At 45.0% G+C, this 19,710-nt stretch overlaps 1 long non-coding RNA gene across 1 annotated transcript, besides 2 other annotated features; it reads left to right on the plus strand.

Moving 5' to 3' along the window:
- Positions 1 to 276: 276 nt before the first annotated feature.
- Positions 277 to 12,691, plus strand: LOC124903356 (uncharacterized). The gene is made up of 2 exons (XR_007064297.1): positions 277 to 441; positions 12,374 to 12,691. It is a non-coding gene; the product is annotated as an uncharacterized LOC124903356 (long non-coding RNA).
- Positions 14,102 to 14,311: a silencer, noted in NCBI's record as "silent region_5995". NCBI's record gives its function as "represses an Ori minimal core promoter by ATAC-STARR-seq in GM12878 lymphoblastoid cells {active_cell/tissue: GM12878}" and the evidence as "EXISTENCE:reporter gene assay evidence [ECO:0000049][PMID:35858748]".
- Positions 14,332 to 14,471: a silencer, noted in NCBI's record as "silent region_5996". NCBI's record gives its function as "represses an Ori minimal core promoter by ATAC-STARR-seq in GM12878 lymphoblastoid cells {active_cell/tissue: GM12878}" and the evidence as "EXISTENCE:reporter gene assay evidence [ECO:0000049][PMID:35858748]".

The raw sequence follows: 19,710 nt of genomic DNA on the forward strand, positions 1-19,710 counted from the left end.
ATTTTCAATTTTCTTGTGTGTGGAGGATGTCTGTTTCCTTGGTCGGCTGGCGCCCTCTGTCCTTGGGGAAATGCACTTCCCCTATTTCACGTGGTGCTGGTGGGACTGCCAATCACAGCGCCTTCTTCAGCCTCCTGGTCACATGAATGGGACCTGGCCAATCACAAAACTCCATTCTCCGACCTCCAATGATTGAGAAGACCGCAGGACCAAAGCAGGACCAATCAGAGCCTTCCATGGATGCTAGGCTAATAGGAACCCTGAGAAGGAGGTTATGTTCTTTCTCCAGGATGGTGGATTATTAGGGTCATGGAGCCTGACGCTGCCAGAACTTTTTTTCCCACCTCATGGAAAGAAGAACTTCCTGGAAGGAAGGCAGGACTGAGAGTTGGAATGAAAATGACAGAGCCCTGTCCACACCGTTAAAGTACTCAAATCCAGGTAGGACTGCAAGCAGTTCAACTCTTGGACTTTTAAGTTATATGAACTGAAAAAGAAATTAATTAGATTTCTGTCACTTGCAGCTGCAACAGTTCTGATGAATAATACAAAGTCCAGACAAAACAGGGTATCAAGGCACATCTGTCCAAGCAACTCAACAGGTCTTTATCTCAACATTTTCAAAAGGGAATGTCAGGTCAACCCAGGGTTCTGGAAATATTTGGGGAAAGGTAAATAATATACATAGAAAGTGGCTTGGGTTTTCTGGCTCCGTCATTCTTGCTAGCTACCTAGGATCAGAGTGATTGCAAAAATCAGATTCTGGCCCATGTGGGGTGCAAACTAGGTCTCTGGCATCATGTAACTGAGCTAATTTTGAAGCATAGGCTTTCCTCAATTCTTAAAATAAAAAGCCCCCCACATTGTGTCAATCATGTAGCCAATTAAGAGACCTAGAAATGACAAACCACCGCATTGTCAAGGTAGATTAAAGACACAGAAGACGTTTCTGATGGTTGGGATAATTAGACTGTCATCGTGCTGCATGGCCCGATCTGCTTGCCAGAGAGGGGGATGTGGAGGAGCCCAGGATTATTTTAACAGGTGGTTTAGGGAGCTAACTCCCCTGAACGCTCACCTGCTTGGCCCAGAGCAGGGATTGAAATACCAAAACCAGGAGACTGGGAGCGAGGTGTGTTTCTGTGCATGCCTATGTGTTTTTATTCCTGATGTATAAATACAGCCAAGGTGTACTGTAATCAAGCAGCCCCCATCTGTTTGCAAAATACAGCCACCTTCCACAGTTCATCTGCCCCAAGGGCTTTATTTGAGATGGAGTTTATTTGCCCAGCAATTTACTTCCTTTCCTTTCCTCTGGGAGCCCTCACGACCCCATTTAAACCTTTGAATGCACGTATCAAATTTCAGATTTGATTCCTCCCAACTCACACCTCTTCCCAGCCAGTCCACATAAATCCTCACGAACGGTGATTACCTTCCTTGCCCCAGAGACCTAGAGAACTCCAGTTGAACAAGATTATTCAGCTCCCAAAGACTAAATAGAGGAACTATCCCTAATTTACAGACAGTTAGTACCTCTCGTCCACATCCTCCTTGGGGGGAAGTGGGTCTGTATTGCTTTGCTGCAGGAAGTCACAAATCTAGTGCTAAAAAAAATCCATATTTATATACACATGAGGGCCCCAAAGGCAAAAATCTATAAGAGGTACTAGACTGCCAGAAACACAGCGGGATGAAGAAAGTGTTATTTGTTGTTATCTTCTCAAGGAGATCTGTGTGTGTTGCAGGAATAGTTTAATACACTGCTTGCAATCCATGGTAGCTTAAGCCACTTTCCCAAGAGTATGGGTCCAAAAAGCAGAAAGGCTTTTATCTTGCTGGGTGTTGGACACAGGGCCGGGGCCTCAAGGGAATTGCTTTAGATGATTGAGGCAGTTTGGGTGGGGACTGCAGACAACAGTCTTCCTCCCACCTATCCTTTTGTGTTTGTACCTATTGCTGCCATAACAAATTATCACAAACTTGGTGGCTTAAAACAACAGAAATGTATCCTTTTAAAGCTCTAGAGGCCAGAAATCCAAAACATTCCTACTGGGCTAAGATCAAGGTGTGAGTTTTGCAGAGCTGTGCTCCCTCTGGAGGTCCTAGGGGAGAATCTTTTTCTATATCTTTCCAACTTCTTGAGCAGCATTCCTTGGCTCATGGCCCCTTTTACCACCTTCAAAGCCAGCAATGTGACATCTTCTCTCTCCGATTCCTTCCTTTTGCCCTCATCACATGGCTTTTTCCTCTTCTGTCAGTAGTCACATCTCCCTCTGTCTGCCTCTTATGTGGACACTAGTGATTACATTGGGCCTACTCAAATAATTTCCCCATCTCAAAATTCCCAATTTATTCACATCTGCAAAAACCCTTAGTTTATGTAATGTAACATTGAGAGGTTCCAGAGTTTAGGATCTGGTATCTTTGGAGGTCACTATTCAGCGAATGATGCTTCCTGTTAGGGGTTGAAGAGTTATTTCCCACTTATTGATTAGGGGAAGCAGTCACTCTCAGTCTGGTGGTAGGAGTTCAAATTGATGCCGGACAACTTGGCAGTCTCTATCAAGAGTAAAATATATTTTCTCTTGCATTCAGCAGTTTCTTCTAGGAATTCATCGATTCAGCTTCTAAGAATTCATCATGGAGATGTTTTTGAAAATGGATGTGTAAGGATTTTTTTTCTAGGGTTGTTATAACAGCCCAATTTTCTAAACAAACTGCATGGCCCCAGCTATGAGGGCTGGTTGGACAAATTAAGGAACATCCATATCATAAAATGCTGTGCAATTATAGAAGAGAATGAGATAGATCTGTGTAAGTTAATGTGGAAGCCTTTAAGATAAGGGAATAAAATAAGGTCATAGACAGTATGCAGAGTAATTCTCATGTGTGTAAACAAGAGGAGTGTGTGTGTGTGTGTGTGTGTGTGTGTGTGTGTGTGTGTATTTGTATAGACCTACAATATTCCTGGAGACAGAGGACAAGTTGTTCCCTCTGTGGAGGGTGACTAGGAAGATGGAGGTATGGAATACAAGTGGTTTTAAGTTTTTACAGTGGGTATTTATTACTTTTAAAAGCAGTTAATGAAAAAAGAGAGCAAACATTGGTTTGAAAGAGCTCGTTTTCAAGAAGCGACTTTTATTAGCCTTTCCAAGGCACCCATAATTTCTGGTCTTATCTCCCCAACTCCTCAACCCTCATCACCAAGACTGAGGTCTTTCCGGCTGGGCGCAGTGGCTCACACCTGTAATCCCAGCACTCTGGGAGGCCAAGGCAGGTAGATCACGAGGTCAGAAGATCGAGACCATCCTGGCTAACATGGTGAAACCCCCGTCTCTACTAAAAATACAAAAAAAAACAGCTGGGCGTAGTGGCGGGCGCCTGTAGTCCCAGCTACTTGGGAGGCTAAGGCAGGAGAATGGCATGAACCCAGGAGGTGGAGCTTGCAGTAAGCCAAGATCGTGGTACTGCACTCCAGTCTGGGCAACAGAGTGAGACTCCATCTGAAATAAATAAAAAAAAAACACAAACAAAGAACAGACTGAGGTCTTTCCTACAATCCCACAAGATCACAGTACCTTTCTCCTTGGAGGCTCCCACAGGTATCCTTTGAAGCCAGATTGATTTCTGCAGGTTACAAATGGGAATTTGCAGGGGACATTTACAGTGGGGGGAAAATATTAATAATTTTCTCCGATCATAAACCAAGACTGGGAGAGGGGTAGCAGGAAAAGAATCTCGGCCTAGAGTTGAATACTTTGGAGTTCAAATTCTGGCCATGTGACCTTGAGCAAGTCACCAAACCATTCTGAACCTCAGTTTCCTCATCCACAAGATAGGAATAATGATATGAACTCAGGACTGTGGTGAAAATCAAAATTAAAAGTGAGACTATAGGAGATTGTGTTTTGGAAGCTTTAGACACTCCCCAAGTGGATGCCCTCTCTGGGGATTGCCCTGACCCCATGCTCAGACTGTGTTGGTAGGGAGAAGACCTAGATCTGAGGAATGTAGGGTTAATAGTACAGGAGCTTCGGAACTTGTGGCTGCTTTGTTACATAGAGGAAGGCACAAGGTCTGTGTGCCTGAGATTCTAGTCTATAAAACAGAATTCATAAAACACAAAGTTAATAGATAAGGCAGTGTAGGGTTTAGTTGGCCTTGTAGTACATTAAGAACCTCTTGAAATTAAAAAAAAAATGTTAAAGGCTATGAGATACCCACGGTCTCTTGACTATTGATGCTGAACCAACAGTACTGCTCCAACTCAAAACCAACGTTCTTGGCTCAAACCACTGCATGTCCAGAGCCAGAGGGTAAATAAATACACAAGACAATTGCAAGGGGATCATGAGGTGACCAAGGCTGGCTGTGAATTGGAGCCAAGTAAGTGAATTGGAAGTAGAGCACAGCCACATGAGGCAAACAAACTCTGCTCCAGGTGTGTGGATGGGCTCAGAGCTTCTCATGCCCGCTCTGACTGGACTTGCTGGCTGGGCTCCGGCCATGTGAGCAGAAGCCTGGGATGCTTCAGCCTCATTGCACAATACATTGTACTCATCCTGAACCAAATACCGAAGCAGGAAGAGGTGTCTGTCCAGACTGCAAAGGAGGACAACTTTTCTTAGAAGCCCCCCAGGTCCATTGTGCCATGTCAAAACTCTCCACGTAGCCTTAAAAAGATCAATGCTGTTCAGTTTCCTTAGACTACATTTGAAGTGAAGAATTCCCTTTCCTGGAGTTGTTATAGTGGAGTGCCAGCCCCGTACCTGAGTCCTGGCCTTGACATTTACTAAGTGGGTAACCTTGGGCAAGTTGTTAAACTCTCTGAGACTTCATTTCTTCATTTACAAAATGGGTATCATACCAAATTTCCTAATTTCTAAGATGACATTTTGCAACATTTCGGAAACCATGCTGGGTCTTATGATTAAGGTGTATATTTAATTTGCCATTGCTTCTTTTATTCTTAGACTCTTGCAGGATCACTGATATTTTTAACAGCTGTATTAGCATTTCTTTATTAGCAGCTTTATTCACACACCATGCAATTCACCAATTTAAATTTTACAGTTCAGTGATTTTCAGTATATTCACAGAGTTGTACATTCATTACCACAATCAATTTTAGAACATCTTCCCCAAAAGAAAACCTCTACTGTTTAGTTATTGTATAACCCAAGTCTTTCTGTCTTTATAGTCAGGCCTTTTCTGGACATTTGCTACAAATGAAATCATATGATATGTGGTCCTTTGTGTCTGGCTTCCTTCATTTGGCATGTTTTCTAGGTTCATCCATGTTGTGACATGCATCAATAATTAATTTCTTTTTATGTCTGAATTAATATTCCATCATATGAACATGCCATATTTTATTTATCTATTCATCAATTGATGTTTGTTTCTTTGTGTCTGTTTTATGAATAAAACTACTATGAACATTCATGTACAAGCTTTTGTCTGAACATCTTTTCATTTTTCTTGGATATGTAACTAGGAGTGAAATTGTTGGGTCATATGTTAACTTGGTGACAATGGTTAACTGAGAAACTACCAGACTTTTCCAAAGTGGCTGCACCATTTATTTATTTATTTATTTGAAGTAGAGTCTTGCTCTTTCCTCCAGGATGGAGTACAGTGGTGCAATCTCAGCTCACTGGAACCTCCGCCTCCTGGGTTTAAGCCATTCTCCTGCCTCAGCCTCCTGAGTAGCTGGGACTACAGGTGCGTGCGACCACACCTGGCTAATTTTTGTGTTTTTAATAGAGATGGGGTTTCGTCATGTTGATCAGGCTGGTCTTGAACTCCTGACTTCAGGTAATTCACCCTCCTCAGTCTCCCAAAGCTCTGAGATTACAGGCGTGAGCCACCGCGCCTCGCCAGCTGCACCATTTTACATTCCTGCCCGCAGTGTATGATAATTCCAATTTCTCTACATCTTTTCCAACACTTTTTATTGTCTGATTTTTTTTATTATAGCCATCCTGTGAATGTGAAGTATTATCTCATTGTAGTTTAATTTGCATTTCCCTGATGATAAATGATGGTAATATATTTTTGCCTGTTGGTCATTTGTGTATCTTCTTTGGAGAAAGTTCTCTTCAGAAACTTTGCCCATTTTTAAGTTGAATTGTCTTTTTATTACTTAGTTGTAAGAGTTTTTAAAATATATTTTAGACACAAGTGCCTTACTGATATATTATTTGTAAATATTTTCTCCCATTCTGTGTGTTGTCTTTACACTTTCTTGATGGTATCCTTTTAATCATGAATATTAATTTTGACAAAGCCCAAACAATCTCCTTTTCTGTTTGTTGCTGTGCTTTTGGTATCATAATTAAGGAATCATTTTAAAATAAAAATCACAGTGGTTTGCCTTCTAAGATTAAAGTTTTATTTCTCACAGTTAGGTCTGTGATCCATTTTGAGTTCATGTTTATATGTAATGTGAGGCAAGGGTCCAGATTCATTCTTTTGCATGTGGACTTCCAGTTGTCCCAGCACTATTCGTTGAAAAGAATACTCTTTCCCCATTGAATTTTCTAGGCACTCATCTTGAAAATCAATTGACCATGCATGTGAGAGTTTATTTCTGGACCCTCAATTCCATTCCACTGATCTGTCTGTCCGTCCTCATATAGACAGTACCACATGTTCTTGATCACTGCAGAATTGTAGTTAGCTCTAAAATCAGAGAATGTGAGTCCTCCAATGTCGTTCTTCTTTTTCAAGATTGTGTTGGCTGTTCTCAGTCCCTTACACTTCCTTAAGAATTTTAGTATCAGCTTGTCAATATCTGCAAAAAGACATCTGAGATTTTAATAGGGAATGTGTTCAATCTGTAGATCAGTTTAGGGAATATTGCTATCTGAGTAATATTAACTCTTCTAATCCATGAACATGGGATATTCTTCTATTTATTTAGACCTTCAATTTCTTCCAACAATGATTTTTAGATTTTTAGTCTTTTGGATATAAGGTTTGCTTTTTTTTTTTTTTTTTTTTTTTTTTTTTTTTTTTTTTTTTTTTGAGACAGTGTCTTACTCTGTCTCCCAGGCTGGAGTGCAGTGGTGCCATCTCGGCTCATGGCAACCTCTGCCTCCTGGGTTCAAGCGATCCTCCCACCTCAGCTTCCTGAGTAGCTGGGACTACAGGTGTGTGCTACCACACCTTGCTAATTTTTGTCTTTTTAGTAGAGACAGAGTTTTGCCATGTTGGCCAGGCTGGTCTCGAACTCCTGGCCTCAAGTGATCCACCCACCTCAGCCTCCCAAAGTGCTGGGATTACAGGCGTGAGCCACCTTGCCCAACCTACTTCTTTCATTTATTTTTGAGTATTTTATTCCTTTTTACACTATTGAAATGGAATTGTTTTCTCAATTTTATTTTCATTGTTCAATGCTAGTATATGGAAATACAATTGATTTTTGTATATTGATTTTGTACTCTGAAACTTTGCTGAACTTGTTTGTTCTAATAAATTTTTAGTGGATTCCTTAGGATTATCTGTATACAAGGTCATTACATATGTTTCTTCTTTGTTTCCAATCTGGATACCTTTTATTTCTTTTTCTTACCTAATTGCCCTGGCTAGAACTCAAATACAATGTTGAATAGGAGTGGCAAAAGTGGACATCCCTCTCCTGTTCCTGGTCTTAAGGGGAAAGCAGTCTTTCACTATTACGTATGATGTTAGCTGTGGGGTTTTCATAGATATCTTTTAAAGGGTTGAGAAAGTTCCTTCCTATCCCTAGTTTTTTTTTTTTTTTTTTAGCATTTTTATCATAAAAGGATGTTGAATTTTGTCAAATGCTTCTTCAGTAGAAATAACAGTGTAATTTCCTAACAATCTCTCCAGTGTTTTGCTTGGAGTAAAAAGTCTTGGGGCCACTTCACTAATTTTAGCATTAGCCCCAAGCAAGGAACACCTAAGATCTGCCAAGTCACTGGCTTTGGGACATCTAAGAGCAGAGGAGCACCCCTTTCCCACACACCTTTTACTCCAGCTGGCCTTCCACTTAGACCCCAGTTGAACTGTCCTATTCAAGGGCTGATTCCTATGACCATGGATAATCAAGTCCTGGGAGATCAAGAGTTGAATTTTCATGGCAATCAGATCAGATTCTTTCTTTGCCTTTTGGGGGATGGTTTTTTCTCATCTTGACCATAATTTTCCTCTAATTTCTACTCATGGGCATTTGAACTTGGGCATAAGACATACATATACTGAACTCAATTGTTTTGTAAGTGTTTCACAGGTTTTTATTTTGCCTAGGTAGTCAAGGAGTAATTTTTTTTTTCTTTGAGACAGGGTCTCACTCTGTCTCCCTGGCTGGAGTGCAATGGCTCAATCTCAGCTCACTGCAACCTCCACCTACTGGGCTTAAGTGATCCTCCCCACTTAGCCTCCTAAGTAGCTAGGACCACAGGTGCACACCACCACACCTGGCAATATTTTTGTATTTTTTTGTAGAAATGGGGTTTCACCCATCACTCTGAGCAAACTATCACAAGGACAGAAAACCAAACACCGCATGTTCTCACTCATAGGTGGGAATTGAACAATGGGAACACTTGGACACAGGAAGGGGAACATCACACACTGGGGCCTGTCGTGGAGTGGGGGGAGTGGGGAGGGATAGCATTAGGAGATATACCTAATGTAAACGATGAGTTAATGGGTGCAGCACACCAACATGGCACATGTATACATATGTAACAAAGCTGCATGTTGTGCACATGTACCCTAGAACTTAAAGTATAAAAAAAAAAGAAGTGGGGTTTCATTATATTGCCCAAGCTGGTCTCAAACTCCTGAGCTCAAGTGATCTGCCTGCCTTGGCCCCCGACGTGCTGGGATTACAGGTGCGAGCCACCATGCCCAGCTGAATAAATTCTCTGAGGGCAGAAACCACACCTTTGAGCCTTTCACAGAACCAGGTAAACTATTTGTCACAAAGAACAGACTTGATAAAGACACTTTACGACTAATCTCAACCTTTTAGCAAAACTGTCACATGTGACGTGCTATCCGGCCTGTACACCACCACATTTCCTATGTTTGGAGGATGCTGAGCAGGAGAGAATGACACAAACACATTCATGAGAGAAGAAACTGAAACACAGAGCCCAGGGGCCACCCAGATCCCTGGTTTCAGCTGTCCCTGTGTGGCTTTATGGCTTCCACAACACAACAGGAGGGTCTAAATGAGTAAATTGAACATGGTACTGAAAGAAAAGAAACACTGCCATCCCAATATTCTTTTAAAACTTCACGAGAAAGCCATATTCGCCAGCTTAATCAAAGAGACTTTGTCAGTATCTAATGTCACAACACAGATCATCCCACGCAATATTGTCTGTCACTCCCTAATGCAGCTTGAAGAGAGATATTGACAAAGTATGGCATGATGGCATTATTAGATGGCATGCATGCCCCCCGGGGCATGACAAATGCCACACTCAGCTCAGAGAAGCTTCACTGCCAGAAGTCTTCTCACCAGTGATAGTAACATGACAAAGCTTTCATGTTAGGGCATCCTATCTCTCCTTCAACACCCTCCCCACTCCAAATTCTGATCTAGGGCATTGCTCGCTAACATAGAAACCAGAATTTTTCACTGAAGAGAAAAAAAAAAGCAATGATCCATTGTATTTGCGAAACCAGATCTATGTAAATCACTTAGCACAGTCCCTGGTACAAGGACGCTCAATACACATTCACTGTTGTTCAATTATTACTGCTCTTAATGGAGCACTCAGAGTATCCATCTGGGAATCTAAGTTCTCCAGCTGGACAGTGCTTTGGGCTGGGTTTCTTCAGGAAAGGTGAGTGGGGATTTCCTGGTTTTGTTTCCAAGAAATAACCAGGACAGCTGTGGGCCATTTTGTACAAACTGTGCCCCTGTGCGCACAGGTGGAATTAGTTGCTCATGAGAGTCAATAGGCATGTAGGTAGCTCAGGAACTCAAGCAAGGCAGGTGCCAATCAAGATTCATTTCTGAAAAGATTAGATGTCCCTAACTCATCCGGTGCTATTCCAGGTGCTGGGAATACAAATGAACATTGGCTAGGCTCTGCCTCTGAGCAGTCATCTACTTGCAGCGGAGGAGAAGGCAGGAGAGCAAACACCCTTATGTGCCATGTGGTGTGGACCCCTGATGGAGGGACTGGCAGGAGAGATTCCCAAATGGGGTGACGTTCAAATGGATCTACAAGAATTAATAATGCATCAGGCAGACAGAGAGAGAAACACTCTTAAAATCTGTTTCTTTATCTGTAATTTGAGAAATTAAAAACAAACAAACAAAAAACAGCTTTCTCACAGTACGCAGAACCGTTTAATGGCCAAGCCTGTGGACTTTCAACAGGCCTGGGGCTGAGTCTTGCTCAACCACCAAGATCTTGGGAAAATAAAAATAAAAACCACAATAATAATAGCAACAAGCATTTAAGCCAACTTTTCTTTGTCTGCAAAAAAGGGACAAGAATAGCAGAAACTACTTAAAAAAGAAAACACACGTAAAGCATTTGACAGAATGCCAGGCACATGTAACATACTCCTTACATGGGAAACTGTTGTTGCTATCACAGGGAGCTTGTGAGGATCAAATGAGACCTGAGGTGTGAGACTAATCTGTGAAACCAAATCTCTGGGGTTATTACTCCAGGCAGAGGGACTATCTCACGTAAAAGCAGGGAAGTTAAAGGAGTGATGATTGTTTCTTGAAGGGAGAGTCCTTGAGTGTGGTGGGAAGGAAAGGTGCACAATGAAAAGGGGGAGGTATTTGAATTGAATAATCAGACAATTGATTAGAGGCCATAGGTCTTGCCTCAGTTATTCAGTTATATGACCAAACATATGGAACAAGAAAATCACGAGAGAAAGAAATCACTGGGATCATAATTTTGAGTTGAGATTTTTTACATTTTTAAATAATGAAACAGTCACATAATTATAAATAATATTAATACAAACATATATAATAAATATTTGTTAAAATTTTAAGTAACAATATTCATATATCCCCACTCCTAGATTTCACAGATGTCAACACTGCGGTATTTACTTGGGACCTTCAGGTATTTGTTGTTTTTGTTTTTAAGTAATAAAATGTTACAGACACTGCTAAAGCTTCACATTTACCCATTTGTGTGTATCACTCTCCTAGATGTTTGCATACTTTACTACATACATGGGTGATTCCATAAACAAAATACAACCTTTTTCTGAGTGTTCTTAGAATTTTACATAAATAATACTATTCTGTATCATTTTATACCTTGCATATACTTCAGTTAACATGTTTTCAAGATGGATCCATGTTGTTAGACATAGATATTGTTAATTCATCTTAACTGCTCTATCCCCTTTGAGGTTTATACTGTGGCTCAGCAATTCTGCTTCTAGAAGTCTTCCTAGAGGAACCATCAGGTATGTACAGAAGGCAATATGCTCAAAGAAGCTCACTGCAGAACAGTTCACGATAGTGAAAAAAGTGTGGAGAATCTGTTCTGGTCATCTTATTGCCAAGTAATAAACCTCCCAACCTTAGTGGCTTAAATCAACAATAATTGCTTATTCTGCTCATGAATCTTCAATTTGGGCAGAGCTAGGCAGGAACAGCTCATCTCAGTTCCATACGGCATTGGCTGGAGTGTCTGAAAAGCTGGAGGCCAGAATTGCCTGGGGACACACTTGCTCCCATATCTGGGGATCAATGCTGGCTGTTGGCTAGGACCTAAGCTGGGACTGTGGCCAGAGCGCCTACTTCGTGGCTGCTGCATGTGGCTGCTTGGCTTCCTCACAGCATGGCGGCTGGGTTCCAGGAGCAAGTGTCCCAAGACAGCAAGGCAGATGCACATGGCATTTTTATGATCTCATCATCACTTCTGCCACAATCAACTGATCACAAAAGTTCACTGAAGTTCAAGGGGAGAGGATACAAAGAAGTCAGCCCAGACCCACCCAGGTTCAAGGGATGTCACAGTTACACTTTAAGAAGAGCATATGGAATGTGATGTATTGTGGTGGCCACTCTTGGAAAATACAATCTGCCACACAACCTAACCGTTCACGCTATGGGACACATAAATACACAAAATTTTGGTGTCTTTGCTTTTGCTGTTTTAAAAGCTGTAAAAAGATGGGCATCTTTTCTCAAAACATAAGCATATTTCCATGCGGAATAAAAAGAATGAAGTGTTTAGGAGGTGATAACAGGGACTTTATACTGGTCTCTATATATCTTTGTATGATGAAATGTTATTACTTCTAGGCACAGAGAACATCTTCCTCCCTTAGAGTACTCTCAGGAACAGTCACAAAAGAGAGTTACTTTTTAAGTTCCTTTTTTCTTTCTCTTGAACAGTATGAAGAAAATCTCCTAGTTCTACAAATTGAGGACTATGATACAACGGTTGCAAAAATGGTGTCTCCTTGAGGGTGCATCTTTGTTCTCTCTGCACTCCAGAAAACCTGGAGAGAGGCTCTGGGTGTCTTGTCTTCATCAGCAGCATAGCGGCTAAAGGGGTCTCTGGAGCCTGGATGGTTGGGTGTGACTCCTGGCTTTGCCACTGGCTCTCTGTGCTTACTTAACTTCCCTGTGTTTCAATTTCCTTATATGGACAACGAGTCTAATGTTACCACATGCAATATTTTTGTAAACACTAAATTTGTTCATCTTGAATTCTGCTTAGACTTGATGAGTGCTTTAAAAGTCATCCGCTGTTATTAGTAATTACAAGAGAGCTGATTCAGAAAGTTGGAAGTAACTTGCACCAGATTAAGTGGATTTAATCATGAACACTATCCCCATGGGCAATCCCAGAATCCTCCCAGCCCGCAGGATAATTAAAGTCAGGCTCTCGATGGAAACCTCTCCTGCCTGTCTTCCTCCGTGTGAGAGAGTTGAAATTGTCAAGATGGGAGGCTGCAGGAAGGGGACGTGCGTCACAGACAGGCGGCAGGAACCCTCCTGCGTTCCTATTTTACAGACAGGGATGCAGCCTGGAGCTCCTGCCTGGGCGTGGCGGCCACAGGGCGCAGTGGGAAGTCCCATGCTCTGGTTAGATGTGAGTTCTCTTCCCAAATCCCCAGCCTTCCCCGACTCCGCTCAATAAAAGCTCCTTGGCCTGGCGCGATGGCTCACGCCTGTAATCCCAGCACTTTGAGAGGCCAGGTGGGTCACGGGGTTAGGGGTTCAAGACCAGCCTGCCCAAGATGGTGAAACCCCGTCTCTACTAAAAATACAAAAATTAGCCGGGCCTGGTGGTGCGCACCTGTAATCCCAGCTACTCGGGAGGCTGAAGCGGGAGAATCGCTTGAACCTGGGAGGCGGGGGTTGCAGTGAGCCGAGATCGCGCCACTGCACTCCAGCCTCGGCGACAGAATAAGACTCCGTCTCAAAAAATAAAAATAAATAAATAAATAAGCTCGCCTCGGAGAAGGCTGGGGGTGGAGAAGCAACAGAGACCCGAAGGCTGTGTCTCAACCATCGGCGATGGGCTTGAGAGATAGACTTGTGTTCCCGTCTGTTACTTATTAATCGGTGACCTTGGCAAATTACTCAGTCTCTTCTGCCTCATTTTACTCCTCTCTAAATTGTCAAATGCTCATAAGGTTCTTTTCCGAGGGGGTCAGCGCAGTGCCTGACCCAGGGTGAGCCTCAGCGAGCAAGAGCCCACGATGGGGTTGGCGGAGAGGCGCGTCCTCGAGGTAACAGGGATGCTGAGAGGTGGCTGAATTCTTCCTTCTTTCAGCGCCCCTGACCTCCCGGCACGGCGCTGGGGAACTCACGGGTCTGGAGCGTGTCCGTGCTGGGCCCCCGGAGATGATTTCTGGAATCGCGACCCGGGGACCTGAGGCCACTCTGGGACCTGCGAGGCAGTTGTTGCCCAAAGACAAGGCCTGGGTACAGGAGCTCGGGAAGCTCTCTGCTGCCCGTCTCCGTTATCCACGTTCGTCTGGGCACCCTCCTCGGGTGCTGCCCATTATTCCTCCCGCACCTGCCGGATCCAAGAGTAGACGCAGAACCCGGACCTCGGAATGGGACGATGCGACGGGCGGGGAAGGCCTGGCCCGGCCGAGGTGCCCTCGGCCCCGCCCTCCACCGAGGGCAGGGAGGCACTGCCTCCGCTCCGTCCACTCGTAACTGGTGACGCTGGCAGCCCCGCCGGGGGGCGGGGGGAGTGCAAGAAAATCCTGAGGTGTGTCGGGGGACCTGGACCAGATGCCCTCCTGCACCGCCCTAGCTCCGGGGAAGTCGCTCTCCGGCTCCGCGGCGCGGGACCCGCCAGCGGGCAGAGGCGCGGCGCTTTGATGTCGCGCGGCCACACGGTGGCGCTGCCGCACCGCCCGCTGGCGGAGACTGGGGGCCAGGGGTGCCCGGGGTGGGGTGGAGCCGGGACGCGCGCACTCCCCAGCCACGCCCGGGGCTCATCCTGGAACCCGGGCGCCCGCAGGGTCGCGAGGCCAAGTGTAGGTCATTCCCCTCCCCGCGGGACCCGTGCCTGGTGGACGCATCGCCGACGCGGACCCTGAACGCTCACATGAGATCCTTAGGGAAACTGAGGCCGAAGAATTGGGAATCTGCATTTAGTCCACTCTCCTGTCCGTAAGAAGAAAGGGGCGCGACTAAGGGGAAGGGAAGGAGCCACAGGGATTCATTCCCAGCCGGTCCCAGTAGCCGCCACAACACCCGGCAGGTCCGAGTTAATCCGTTCTGCAAGCTAGGAAATGAGGCTCGGTATTGGCGGAGGCCACACTGTTGAGAGGCGGTGTTCAACCCCAGGGCTGTGTGTCCCAGCTCTGCAAACTCGGTCACAGCCTCTATCTCCGTGGCATTCACAGTCCTTACCGGTTTTTGACAGTGACCTACAGTGAGATGTCTGTTTACGTCCCTGTCCGCGCGCGCGCGCACACACACACACACACACACACACACACACACACACCTATATAGAACTGAAAACGACACTTAACCTTAATTAGTGTGATGCACTCTGTTTTCTTTTTTGATTCTGTACTGTGTCTTTTCTACCTTTCAGTGCTGGGTGCTAAAATAATCTCACTACTCACTAGTGGGTCCCTAGTCAGTTTGACAAACAACTTCATAGGTGCTGGCTGGGCTCTTCTAGCCATGGAAGTCAACGGAAAGTTGTCCATGTAAGAGGACACAGTCAAGACCAGATAAAGATGGGGAAGACGGTGATTCCCCACGGATAGCCTGGGCATGTGCTGAAGAGCAGATTCTGACTCAGTGGGCCTGACGCTGGCATTTCTAACAAGCTCCTGGTGATTCCGACCACTCCATGCTGAGAGTGACCAAGTCCCCATCACGTGTGTTATCATGAAAGCAATTCTGAGACCAAATTCTGTCATACATACAATAGCTATTAATAAGCAGACACAAAAACTAGATTCAGCCTGTTCTTGTAGTTCTGAGGCAGAGTGCTCCAAATCTACTCCTCCCTTCCACCACCACCACCACCACCACCCTAACCCCTGCTCTTTCATGTCATGGTGATAGAATCTAAGGCGGATGCTGTTGAGCCACCTTCTTCCTCCCAGGGTGGATCTCTAGTGAAGTTTGAGTCAATGGGATGTGAACAGAAGGGATATATGCAAATCCCAGGTGATCTTCTGGGAGATAGCCTAGCTTAGTCGACTTAAAAGACAACTTAAAACTTGTACTTCAACTTAAAATGTAAGCTCCTGAGTTTCGTGAGTGCTCCTGAGTTTCCTTCTTTTCCCTTCCAGCAAGTAGGAAAATGCTCACAGTTCAGCTCTGACCCTGCAGACAAGGGCAACAACCCTGCAGACAAGAGGTCACAATTCAGCTCTGACCCTGCAGACTAGGGCAACAAGCTGGAAGGAACCTGGATCCCTGAATCATTGCATGGAGCAGAGCTGCTCCATCAACCAGGATCTCTCACCTAGAGATGCTTATTTAAGAGAGAAACAAACCATCTTCTTTAAACTTCTGTATTATACAGTACTTGGTTGGGGAACTTGTGCTTTTGTTACAGCGCATATTCTCATTTAGGTTCATCTGAAGCAAATGCAACAATATTCTGATAGCAGAATCAACTAACGGGTATCTGATCAGGTAACAGAATCCTCTGTTGAGTGTGTTGTGGGGAGGACCCTGGGGGAAGAGGAGAGAATAGGACCACAGTTGTAAACCTAGGGCACTAGATTCCCATGCTACTTTCTTGCAAGCATGGAGATATCTCTGTGTGTATCTTTCTAGCCACTACCCATTAGCACCACCCATTTCACCATCAACAACAACAAAAAAATCTTTTTCGTAGTTCTTAATGAACAAACCCTCTGGGGAAGACTTGGAAAGCAATTTTTGAAGCCTGGGTCTTCCTATGTTTACTAATTGCTCCACCTTGCTGCCCTGTGTATCACTTAAAGTTAACTTACATACATATATACCACCTATATCTATACTGTTTAAAAGTAAATGTAGACAATATTTTACCTTGTATTTTCCCAGAGTATTATTATAGCCTAAGTGGCTATTGACCTCCAAGCTCATTATTTCCTTTATTACTTTAAAGGAATTTGGCTTGAGCCCCATTGAACATGGGATAGAAACCCTGCTCCATCTCCAAAAGTCCTCAGTGGTGGGACCTTCCTTGATTCTTATCACCCCAGACCCCCATTTCTTACTTCTCCTGACTTCTCTGGCTCCACTTTGCATCTCATGCTTCATGATTGTTCCCTCTTTCTGACCCATATCAACACAGAAGGGAAGGTACATCTGGTGAGGATTGGTGGGCAGTGGACTGGGAGTGGGGTTACACTGCAGTGCAGTGCCGCTGATCATTTTTAAATTTCACAGTGGACGTCCGTATCTTCAGAGCCCTTCAGCCTTCCTCACTTCAGGCTATTTATTAGTTATGTGCCTGCACCTTAGCTGGCCTCTGTCTCTTTAGGCTCGTGTGTCTTGTGGTTCTCTCCCTTCACCATCCCACCTGCTCTCTGCTCCCTGGCCCCTCATCCAGACAAAAAGTCACGTGCACAAAATTGAATTGCAAACCAATTTGTAAAAAAAATTCTGTCATCCACTGCCCTGCTCCCTCATTCTGTGCTTTGTTCCAGAGCCCGTCTTTTTCATAGCACCTGTGCTGTCAGAGAGTTCTGCTTAACACCAACAAACACCCAAACACACAAATACACACAAAAAGTCTCTTCCTGCCTGGCCAGATCACACCTAACTTCTTTCCCCTCCCCAACTACATGCAAGGCTGATTCAGGGATCCCTTTACTTAAATCTCTGCAACAGCTCTTCACTGGCTTCTGTGCATCACCATTGCCACGGTGACCGCCAGGCCATTGGTGACCTGGCCATGCTCCCTCCCTTCCAGCCTCATATCTGACTGTGTACCCACACACCTCCTGTGCCACTCATCCCAGCCACGTCACACTCTCCAAACGGGCCCAGCTCAGCTTTCTCAGCTTCATTCCTTTGCACATTTACTCTCCTTGCTGTGTTCACCTGGAGTGTCTCTCCCTGAACTCTGCCCAGCAGCTGTTGTCTCAACCACTGCTGGGAAGCCCTCCTTGACTTCTCAGGCTGGGTGAAGGACTCCTCTAACCCCTCTGCCTGTCTATCCTGGCACATAAAACTGATTTCAGGAATTTTAGCTTTCCTTGTCTCTCCCCTCCAACAGATGGAACGCTTTAGGGGCAGGACTACATGCCCTGCTGTTATTTATCCTATAGATGAGCGCATAGGAGGCAGGCCTTCAGTGCATGCTTATTAACTGAATGTGAGAGTGTATAAGACCTGTCGCTGACTGAATGTACAATACCTGTCGAGGTAAAAATCAGACTGGAGGACAGTCTGGAAGGGGTGAAGCAAAGGAAGGGGGGTGCCTGGGAGGCAACTTTAGGGCTGCCAGGGGAGAGGGAAGTCTGGGCAGCAGGTTCATAATCAATCAAGACACTCATTGGCTCCAAGCCTTTAGTTTTCTTCCCACCAGTGGGCCAGACCGCTGTCCTCTTCTTGCTCTCTCTCTGGGACAGGTCTCTGCATCTCCTTCCCATTTTGCCTCCCAGTGGCTCTGCCTGCCTTCCCTGGGATGGGCAGAACAGCAGCAGGAGCACTGAGGTAGGTTTGTCCTAAGCCTCCATTTCTGGGAAGGGGCCACTAACATCTCTGATGACCATGGAGGGGGGTCCTCTTAGCAGAGGGGAAAGGCATTCCTTGATTCTGAATGTCTGTTGAGAGACATTACTTTCCCGACCCTCTTCCAAACACACCCACCCCAAGAAGAGTATGTGCTTTCTGGACGGAGGGGCTATATCAGCGAGGATGGGCTCAGTCACATCTCAGGAATGAGATACTGTAAAGCAACAATGATGTGTTGTTCCTGACTCCCAAGACGTCCATTTTGCATGGGCAGAAAGGCTCTAATCATTGCAGTTACTTCAAGAACTGGCTTGAACCACCTCAAGCCAGTTCTTTTTTTCTTTTTTCTTTTTTTTTTTTTGTTGTTGTTTTTGTTTGTTTTTATTATTATTATTGAGACCGAGTCTCTGTCTGTCGCCCAGGCTGGAGTGCAGTGGCGCAGTCTCAGCTCACTGCAACTTCTGCCTCCCAGGTTCGAGCGATTCTCCTGCCTCAGCCTGCTGGGTAGCAGGGACTACAGGCGCCTGCCATCACGCCACCTGGCTAATTTTTGTATTTTATTTTATTTTTATTTTTATTAATTTTGAGATGGAGTCTCGCTCTGTCGCCCAGGCTGGAGTGCAGTGGCGCAATCTCTGCTTACTGCAAGCTCTGCCTCCTGGGTTCACGCCATTCTCCTGCCTCAGCCTCAGGAGTAGCTGGGACTGCAGGCACCCGCCACCATGCCCAGCTAGTTTTTTTTTTGTTTTTTTTTTTTTTTTGTATTTTTAGTAGAGACAGGGTTTCACCATGTTGCCCAGGCTGGCCTTGAATTCCTGACCTCAAGTGATCTGCCCTCTGCCTGTCTTGGCCTCCCAAAGTGCTGGGATTACAGGAGTGACCCATCAAGCCCAGCCAGCCAGTTCTTGAAAGAGCCTGGGATGGTCCCACACTGACAGTTAAATGCTGTGTCCCGGAAGGACTCACTTCACTTCTACTCTATCATTGGTCAGAACCAGTCACATGCCCCACCCATCACGTGCGGACCAGGAAGTGCAACCCTACCACAAGGTGGGGGACTAGAAATCCTCGGGACACAGCACTGATGACTACCGTAGGGGGTGAGGAAAGGAAAGTCTAAAAGACAAAAAGGGGAAATGGAGGCTTTTAGACATTAGGAGAATCTGGTCGCCCTTGAGGCACAATGGCTTGGACTTTTGGCTGGCCTTAGAGCAACGCAAATGCTGGCCTGCGTCAGGCTTAGAGTATGGAGGAGGGTGGATGCTCACTGGGCCCCCAGAGTGCATTTCCCCATCCCCAGTGACTTGCTTCTGGCCCTGCCCAAACCCAAGCCAGACTTTCAGGACCTCATTGTTTCCTAGAATGTATCTCTAGTAAATACAACTGGCATTGACCTCCCTTCCATTTCAGCATATTTAACATGATGTTCTCCGATCATTTTGTGTTGATACAGCCTCTTCTTCCTGATGGCAAGTCCTTAAGTTCAGAGTCAATCTCAAGGCTTTCTCTGTATTCCCCAACGCATGGGGCTGGGCATTCACCCAACATGTACTGGGTCCTTA

This window comes from Homo sapiens, chromosome 14 (assembly GCF_000001405.40).
Source record: "Homo sapiens chromosome 14, GRCh38.p14 Primary Assembly".
NCBI lineage: Eukaryota > Metazoa > Chordata > Mammalia > Primates > Hominidae > Homo > Homo sapiens.